At 41.0% G+C, this 10,200-nt stretch overlaps 1 annotated feature.

Moving 5' to 3' along the window:
- Positions 8,396-8,445: an enhancer, noted in NCBI's record as "active region_8993". NCBI's record gives its function as "activates an Ori minimal core promoter by ATAC-STARR-seq in GM12878 lymphoblastoid cells {active_cell/tissue: GM12878}" and the evidence as "EXISTENCE:reporter gene assay evidence [ECO:0000049][PMID:35858748]".

Here is a 10,200-nt window from a genome sequence, read left to right on the forward strand (position 1 = left end):
GTGGAGATGATAATATAATCTTTGTGCCTGGGATGCAACAGGGAGGAGTGAATCCAGAGTTTGGGGAGAGGGTGGGACAGTCGTCTGAATGCTCTTTCCACTTTCCTGTGTGTTGGCTTTCTGCTTCTGATCCTATAGAAGCCAGTGAAAAGCCATCACAGTTACTTAAAATGAACACCGTACAATACCTGGGCAACAGTTTCTTTAAAAGTGGAAAAATTGCTGTACTCAATATTCTCTCTGGCCTTGACACAAAAATCATAGTTCAAAAGTTCATGATGGTGGTCCTTGGTATAATTCTCAGATGTGAGAAAGGTCCCTACACACTTTCGTAGTCTTTTCCCATAAGGGACCAATATGTGTTAGTACTTAAAAGTGAAAGTAGAGCCACTGAAGGGTCTGGTCAGCTAAGCCTGAGGACTCGAAAGTTCTAGGACAGTGTATTCCAGGGAAAGTTACAACTGGGAAGTGATTCTATTAGATTGTCCGGTGAAGAGAGAAAAAAGTACATTTACTTCTTGAACTTTTGTAGGTCGAGAAATGTGCCTCCAAGGTTCTTAGGAAGACCTTTGACGTGGATATTTTAGTTCTTCCCTACTCCTTCCCCTGCCCCAACACAAACAGCCTCACGTCTTCATTTACTTCGTTAACTATTATGGAACATTTTGGTGCAAACATGTGAATCAGTTTAACTGGAGAAGTAATAACGTACATCCCAGTCTGCTTGACATTGTAATTGCAGAAGTATATGATCTAATCCCTGTGTACCTCCCCACCCCAAGTTTCTAGTCCAGAAACCCTTGACAGATAATTAAACAGTTATGGCAAAGTATTAGATTGATGCAAAAGTAATTGTAGTTTTTGCCATTTTTTAAATATTGTGCCTTAGCATTCATAATTTTAAGTAGGGTCATTTAGACATTTCTTAAGATATGCACACAGTTGCAATGGGTTTTTTTTTCCTTTTTTTAAGTTTCTAACTAGACTTTCAAAAGAGAAGCCGTCTGTATTCCAGGTGCTACAGTCCCAAAATAAGTCTCTGATATGTCATGCAAAGTGTTCAGAAAGCAAAGGTGGTTGAAATTACATCAAAATGGTTTCCAAGGCCCTGTCTGTTCTTGTAGAGGTCAGAGAAACCACAGCCTGCAAAAACACAATTGAGGCCAAAAATCTGAAACACCTGCTGTTCCCAATGAACTGTGTGATGCACATAGAAAGTGTTTGGAAGGGAGGGTCAAGCTAAGTGAACAGTCATGATAATACCTGGTTGGTCTTGTAGCAGCAAAATTGAGGGGAAATATGAAAGTTTTTAAAATGGATTTTTTTTAATGTTATTGTTGATACCCCTATTTGAATGTAAAGTCCCTAACACAAAGAAGCAAGCTTCCTTTAGACTGCATTTACTGCTCTTGATGACTCCAGTTGTGTGTAAATATTAGAAAACAGCAGGGTCCTGCATTCCAAGAATCACTTGAGCAGTGCCACGAAGACAAGTGTCCTTACTGGTATTGTAGTCATACTCCCAAGCTCTCCTGCTGTTTCTAATCTGTGCGCACAGCCGTGAAAAAACTGGACTGACATTTACAGGCACAGCAGGGAGACACTTGACTAGGGAATGTTGAAGACTACAGCACCTCCAATTCAAAGTGGCCACCACACATGATAAATCTTCACAGGAGAGCCAGTCTGCACTTCAGCTGATGCCATAATGAGGGTATCTGTAATGAAGCAAAAAGCAGAACATTATTCTCCTCTAAACTCAACTTTTTAGCAGTCAGATGTTTATTGTTGCCTTTTTTAAGACCTAAATATCTAAAGGAAAAATCTAATTCTGCGTGGGTGTCGGATCTATTTCTTTGAAACTTTTTTGGAAGGTCTGTTTCCTTACTGCTCAGTCCTTACTAGGGTTTTACAGGAATGTTCCTTAGTAAAAGAGCATTTACTCATCAACTCTGAATAGAAATAACATTTCCTGGAATCTTTTCTAACTGGCATGTAAACGAGGGTCAGTCGCTTTCTGCCTCGAGTTCGGCAGATTTTATTCCCTGTTTTGTCCCAGGGAGCTGCCAGATTCGTATGCCATAATACCAGTAATGCAATTAGGTTTGCTGCACATTGTCTGGTTGACTTCTCAGTTAAGAGTTTCTTTCCCTGTGGGAATAAGACTAGACAGACTGCCATTTGCTATTACTAATTCTGCTTAGCATTATCACTGGAGCTTTTTTTGTAATTAGCTATCTTAGTTGGCTCTTAAATTTTAATAGCCAATTGAAGCTACGTTTTCGCCAAGTTCCATATCTAAATTGCATTCAGTCCATTAACAAAGTTGGTTAAAAGGCTATTAAAAGCCAATATATGGTGGTTCGCACTTTCATCTTTGCGGCAGTAGCAATGCTGGCTTCCTCCGAGTTCTCTAAAGGAACTTACTCTCCTCAAAGTTACACATAAACTGGACACAACTTCTGAGCGGCAAGAAATTAATGACAAGATTTTTAGCATGCTAACATATTTCAAAAATGTCACTGCCTACCCCCTTTGCCTTTTGGTGAGGGTTCTTCCAGGGTTTGGTTTCATTTGGTTGATGGCGATGAAGGAAGGAAGAAAGACATTTAATATTGTAACTTAAAATTGATGGTTTTTGAAAAGTGAATAATTGAAATGATGTTTTTCTCCATTTTAGCTTATCAAAATTATTAGCAAAACCATCTGAGGCACCTTCTGGTAGAATTATAGTCTCGCTGGGTTTAGTTTGTAAAACATTCTGCCAGACATTTAAAAAAAAAAAAATTGTAGTGGAGCCAACACATAGGCTCAGAGCACTCTTTGCCTAATTGATAGTCCTCGTTATTATTATGGTTAAAGTCAGAAGACCATTTCTAACACTCCCCCACCCTTGGCAAATTAGTTTACCATGATTTTAATTTCTACATTGAGTCCCCCTTCCTCCAAATTGGAACGTTAGTTCAGTTTTCCATTTTCAAAGGTACTTAATTTCAAAAATTTTTACAATTTGTAATGCAGGCTGTCAAAAGAAATTAGACTGGTACAGGGTGCATTCAGTGTACATTTATCTCTGAATCGTTAGTATCCTGGGAATGAAGACGTGGAGAGAAACTAGTGGGCAAATACATCCTGTCACCTTGACTCAGTCCAGTGCAACTGAAACAGCCCTCCACCCCCACCCTGCCCCATTTTGCCAGTGTCCTATTTTGAAAAGAATAGTTTTTCTGTTTCAAAAATCTACAGATTTTTTAAGACTCCAAATGATGGCTTTTTCTATTGCCCCATTCAGAAGCTATTAGAAATTGTATTTAATCTTAAATTTTTCAAAGTCACAAGAGGTTCAAATACTTTCCATCTCCCTCTATTTGACCATTCTTCCATAGCTAGCTTTCTCTATCACCCCCAGAACTGTGATCAGGCTTTGTCTTTGATGATGTTATCTTCCCTACTGAAAGCCACCTGGCAGACAAAATCTGGGTGGAGGTAATTCTGCTAAAATTACGTTTCCATTTTAGGAGTCCATATTCACATGGGATTTTTCATACAAGTTTACTTTTTCAGTCTTTGGCTAGATGGCTGAGGCAACATCAATGAAAGTATAAGAGCTTCACATGTCTTAGCAAAGCAACAGCTGGATGGTCTCTGATGATTTTTGTTCTATACCAGAAGCTGATAGAAAAGGACAAGAGAGGTCATTTTATCCATGTTAAGATTATAATGCAGTAAAATTAATATGTTATTGTATATGTAACTAATTGAGCTTTAATAAAAATAAAACTGGCTTTAAAAATCATGTCACAAAACTCTCTAAGAGATGAGTTTGATGGCTTCTCCTATGGAAGACAAAGCAAGAACAGCCCTGCTGTGTGTTTTTTGTTTTGTTTTGTTTTGTTTTTTGAGATGGAGTCTCTGTCGCCCAGGCTGGAGTGCAGTGGTGTGATCTTTTGGGTGCTAACTTTCCCATGCTCCTGAATTGCACATGTGGAATGCAATGTTCCTGGTAGGCATCTCATACAACCCCTAGAGAAGGAAAGGAGAGGGGCCTTCAGGAACCTGGTAGAAGCCTGGGCAGAGTTGGCTGACGTCACTTGGTCTGGAATGAGAGAGGATTTGACATTGCACACAGTACAGGAGGCACCTCACGTGTTACCATGTGATTCACTTAAGGTCTTTTCTCTTGGACTGGTCTATTTCCTTAGAGAAGGTTCTATCTGTTGCCCAGAGGGCTGAATTTTGAAGACCATAGTTAAGAGAGCACCATCCAATTCATCAGCTTTGCCTTTTAGGGATTATGCTTTTGGTGTCTGGTCTAAGAATTTGGCCTAGCCCTAGATTCTGAAGATTTTTCAATTTTCCCTGAAAGTTCTAGAGTTTTATGTTCTACATCTAAGGCTTTGATCTATTTTGAGGGTTTTTTTATATCTATATAAGCTGTGAGTTTCGAGTCAAGATTCTGCTTTTTGCCTATGGATGTCCAATTGTTTCAGAACAATTTTATTATTACTATTATTTTATTTTTTCCAAGACTGAGTCTCGCTCTGTTGCCCAGGCTGGAGTGCAATGGCGCAATCTCAGCCCACTGCAACCTCCGCCTCCCGGGTTCAAGCAATTCTCCTGCCTCAGCCTCCCAAGTAGCTGGGATTACAGGCATGCGCCACTAGGCCCGGCTAATTTTTGTATTTTTAGTAGAGACAGGGTTTCACCATGTTGGCCAGGCTGGTCTCAAACTCCTGACCTCGTGATCCATCCACTTTGACCTCCCAAAGTTCTGGGATTACAGGCGTGAGCCACCGCGCCTGGCCTCAGAACAATTTTTTGAAGAGACTTTTCTTCCTCTTCTGAATTGATTTTGCACCATCAGAAAAAATTAGACATATTTGTAGATGAGTCTATTTGTGGATTTTCTATTCAGCTAGCTCTATGTCCACTGATCTGCCAGTATCACACTGTTTTGATTACTGTAGCTATATAGTGAGCTTTGGTATTAGATTCCTCCCGCTTGGTCATTTTTAAAGATTGGTTTAGCTATTCGAGAACTTTTGCCTTTCTATACAAATTTTAGAATGAAATTGAGGTCTACAAAAAATGGTATTGAAACTACAGACAATTTTGGGAGAACTGACATCTTTATTGTGTTAAATCTTTCGATCTATGAACACAATACTTTGTTGTTGTTGTTGTTGTTGTTTAGGTCTTTGAGTTTCAATATACAATCCTGTACTTAGTTTGTTAAGTGTATACCTAAGAATTTAACTTTTTTCTGAAGCAGTTGTAAATGGTTTTGTGTTTTTTTTTTGGTGGGGGGGGAGGGGTTGAAGTCTTGCTCTGTTGTCCAGGCTGGAGTGCAGTGGTGTGATCTCAGCTCACTGCCACCTCCACCTCCCAGGTTCAAGCAATTGTCCTGCCTCAGCCTCCAGAGTTGCTGGGATTACAGGCACCCGCCACCACGCCCGACTAATTTTTGTATTTTTGGTAGAGATGGGGTTTCACCACGTTGGCCAGGCTGGTCTCCAACTCCTGACCTCAGGTGATCCGCCCACCTCGGCCTCCTCAAGTGCCGGGATTACATGTGTGAGCCACCGTGCCTGGCAGGTATTGTTTTTAATTTCAGTTTCCACAGATTCATTGTTAGTGTAAAGAAATACAATTTTTGAGTTTTGTGTTTTGCTGTCACATTGACGAATTTACTATTTATCAATTTTAAAACTTAAGTATTGAGTTCTTATTATGATAGATGAGATTTTAGCTCTCTTGTACTCTTCCCCTTCCCCTATCCTTTCGTACAATTAGGTATTTTTAGATAAATTGGTAGTCAGGGTTTACATTGTTTCAACTAGGTAGATATTACTTATTTCAGTGTATTGTGATGTCGTTTCCTTTTTTGGTAAAACTTTTTGCTTCTGTTGGAATTAAAAATTGCCTCATTAATCTTTTTCTAAGTTTTTTACATATTTTTGACTATTTACAGTTATTCCATCAGATCTATTATAACACCCACCAGTAGTTTTTTATTTCACATGTTCAATCATATCAGAAAATTCATCAATTTGTTTTTAAATTGGATGCCTCCCTTCTGGAGTGTTTCTTTTTGTTCCACCTGATATCAAGTTGTCTTTGGGATCCTGTGCAGAGCTTCACCTAAAGCTTCTCCTCACCATAATTTTGGACTTCTCTTTACCACTTTGCTGTATTGTATCTCCCGTTCCTGATTTCTGTAGCTTCTTTCCTGATTTTGTCTCTTGCTTTGCACTAGTACATCCTGCAGAAGCTTCTTTAAAAAGATGTATGGGAAGCTATTATTTTTAATCCTTGCATGTCGGAAAATATCTGAGTTACCTTCACATCTGTTAGATAGTTTGGCTAGGTGTAGCAGCCTGGTTTGAAAATTATTTTCCTTCAGATTTTAAAAAGATGTTGCACCGCTCATTGTGTTTTAGCATTTAATGTTGCCTAGGGGGAAGCTTAGTGCATTCTGATGCCCTTTCCACTTTGAAACTCTTGGGATCTTCTCTTTGTCCTTCTGTTGTAACATTTCATGGCCATGCACCTTCATGAGGCTTCCTGTCATTTATTGTGTCGGTAACTCAATTATTTGTCAAATATTGAATGCTTACTTTGGCACTATTCTGCACTCCAGAGATACTGCAGTGAATAAGACAAGGTTTTCACCTTATGGAGCTTATAACCTGGTAGGGGAAAAAAGATAAGAAATATATAAATACAATAATTTCAGTCAGTGACAAATACGATGAATATAAAACAGAAAAGGGAAATTGAGGAATGTTTTTTGGACTGTAGGTGCTATGTTAGAGTGACCAGGGAAGATCTCTCTGAGGAGGCGATGTGAGTGCTGAGGCCTAGAGGTGAGAAAGAAGAAGCTCCTGGGGAAGACAGAGGATGGAGGCAGAAGCGGGTGGAAAGGACCTGTGGTTGGCGTGTGGGAGGAACAGAGAGCACCGTGTGCCTGGAGTGGGTGAGGAAGGAGTGCCAGGCAGGAAGTCTGAGAGTCCAGCAGAAGCCATATCACGCGGGGCTACCGAAAGGAGTTTGGATTTTATCCTATTTGAAATGAAAAGCCCTTGGAAAGTGACACGCGCAGGGGTGAGAGGCTCTGCTTGACACGGCTCCGGGAGGACAGACTGGAGAGGAATACAAGTTGTAGCAGGGTGACCACAGAGGAGGCTGTTTCAGACTTTCCTGTGATGGGTTTTGACTCAGTGGCCCTTTCAGACCAGCACACTGTGCTTTTCAGTTCTGGGAAGTATTCTTGTATTACTTCTTTGATGATTTTCTCCCCTCCAGCTTCTCTGTTCTGTGTTCCCAGAACTCTCAGCAATTATTTGTTGCACTTCTCTCCTGTTTTTTTTCTCTTTGTTTTTTCATTCTATTTTTTTTGAGCTGTTTTCGTTTTATCCTTCAGCATTTTTAGAGATGTTTTAATAAGATTTTGGAGGGTTAGGCCTTGCTGAGTGGAGAAGGAAGGCTAGGGTCCAAGTGAGCCCCCTTATTTTCAACCCTGTGCTCTGTCCCCAGCTCCCAGAGGAACCTGGAGGGCCATGTCACTCAGGAGAGCCCTCCAAGGGCTGCTTGTGCTCTGTTAGGTCAGTTATTCCTCTTCCATCCTCTCCTCTTCTCAAAAATATATTTATTTAATGTGTTTACTTATCGATCACAATGCACTTACCTAACATATTTATTGGGTTTTCACACTCTGCCAGGCACTGAGTTAACGTTGCTAGATGAAAAGACCGGCAGAACTATTTGCCTGCTAATTTGTTTCCGTTTTCTTCAAAGGAAAATACTTCCTTAAGGGATGCTCACAGCTCTCTTGAGCTTTGAGCATGTCAGGAGGATAGTTAACGCAGTTCAGAAGAACCCAAGTGTCCAAGCATTGGCCTGTTGCGCACTAGGGATAGCTGGAGTGTGCTGGTGTGTGATGGCCAAAACACTGGTAGGGATTTCTGAGTCATCACGGAAAATGTAAAGAATGTCAGAGACCTGAAATGGGAAAATATTCTACTTGTTTTCAAGCATCAATGCCCTATAATCTGCGTTTACGAATTTAAATATATGATGCTAACCTAAATGTTTCCTTCTTCTTCTTTGTTTTTTTTAAGTTTTCTGTCTTTCTTCCTCCTTCCTTCTCTCCCTTAGGAGAGAATAAAAAGAGTGAAAGTTTATTTACTTTGCTAGTACTTAGGAGGAATAAAAGGAGTGAAAGTTTATTTTTAACAAGACCAAAGGGCCTGGAAAAAGTGCAGAATCTTGGCATGGTAGCCTCAGGCGGAGTTGTAGCTAGGACGCAGTCATCCAGAGGAGTCACCACTCTGCTGTGGGCGCTCAGTCCTTATTTCCACACTTTCATCACATTTCTATGTGAAGACACCTGCATTAGTCTGTTCTCACGCTGCTGATAAAGACATACCCAAGACTGGACTGGGTAATAAGGTTTAATGGACTCGCAGTTCCATGTGGCTGGGGAGGCCTCACAATCACGGAACAAGGCAAAAGACACATCTTACATGGCTCGGACAACAGAGAATGAGAAAGTGAAAGGGATTTTCCCTTGTAAAACCATCAGATCTCATGGGACTTATTCACTACCACAAGAGCAGTACGGGAGAAACTGCCCCCATGATTCAATTATCTCCCACTGGGTCCCTCCTACAACATGTAGGAATTATGGGAGCTACAATTCCAGATGAGATTTGGGTGGAGACACAGCCAAACCATATCAACATTGAAGTCAGGCTCATCATGCTTGCAGATGAAATGGTTGGTACTTTGCATGATATCAAGAGTCAGAAGATTCTGGAGGATGTTTCTGTTTCCAAATCGGTCTCCCTCAGCAGCCTGTGAACCTCTTGTCTCTTGATCTTTTTAGCCTCTGTACCAAGCACAGTGTCTGGCTCCTACATGTGGTTGTGCAGGAGAAATATTTGTTGAATAAATGAATGAATGGTTGGGAAATGAGGAAAACTAGAAAATGAAATCAATCTGCCAAACATTTATATTAAGAAAAAAGAATAGCAATTACCCAAGAATAGGCTGAAGGAGACGTGGCCTAGCAGCAGATCGCGTGGGAAAGAGCAGCAGGCTTGTGTTGATCGCCGCTTCCTAGGCTGAGTGGAAGCTGCTTAGCCCATGCGCTCTCTCTGCACCCAGTGGACCTCATCTTGGTGCCCTCATTTGTATGGACCTGGAAGAATTGAGGTGGCTCCATATGAGGGCAGGCAGCATGGAGAATGGTTAAGCAACCCGTTACACAAGGAGATGGGAAAACTGGGACATCTAGAGAGGCACACAGAGGTGGTCATGGGGAATGTGGTGGAGAAGGCCAGTGTCTACAGATATTCAAAAGTTTGTCATGGGGGAGAAGAGCACGACTCTTCAGAGTCACTGGAGAAGGTAGAACTAGGCCCAGTGAGGTGCAAGTTAATGGGAGATGTCACAGTACAGAGGTGTCACTGATAGGTATTTAAGTTCAAGTGGAACCAGAAGACCTAAGATGCTGTGAACTCACCTTTGGAAACTTGAAGCAGAGATTGCTGAATGTATTACTGTGGGGACTCTTATATTAGAACCTACATCTTTTAATAGTCAAATTATGAAGCACTAATATTAACTGTCTTTTATGGGGAGCTTGCTATGTTCCAGGCACTGTGCTATTTTATGCACATTGTGTCATTTAATCTCCATTAGCAACCCTGTGACAGGAGTGCTAGGATTTTCTAGGAATCTGATGCTTAAAGAGGTCAAGTGACTTGCCTGAAGTCATAGCTAGTAAGTTGTACAGTAGTATCTGAGCCCACACTCGCATGGCTCCAGAGCCACCCTCTTCACAGCTATACCTGTGGCCATAATATCTGACTTGATACCATGTACAGCCATTGCAGCGTGGCCCTTGTAACTCCAAAATATTTTCTACCCTGATTGTATTAGTGTGAGCTAAGTCCTACTGCAATAACAAACAATTCCAAAATCTGTGGCTTAAAAATCACAAGGCTGATACTATCATGAAGAATACATATCATTATACACTTGTCCAAACCCATCAAAATGTACAGTGCTGACAGTGAACCCTAACGTACACTGTGGACCTCGAGTGATAATGATGTGTCAGTGAAGTTTGTCAGTTGTAACAAATGCACCACTCTGATAGGGGAAGTGGATAATGGCGGGGGACAGGGAGGCTAC

Source organism: Homo sapiens, chromosome 14, assembly GCF_000001405.40.
Source record: "Homo sapiens chromosome 14, GRCh38.p14 Primary Assembly".
Lineage (NCBI taxonomy): Eukaryota > Metazoa > Chordata > Mammalia > Primates > Hominidae > Homo > Homo sapiens.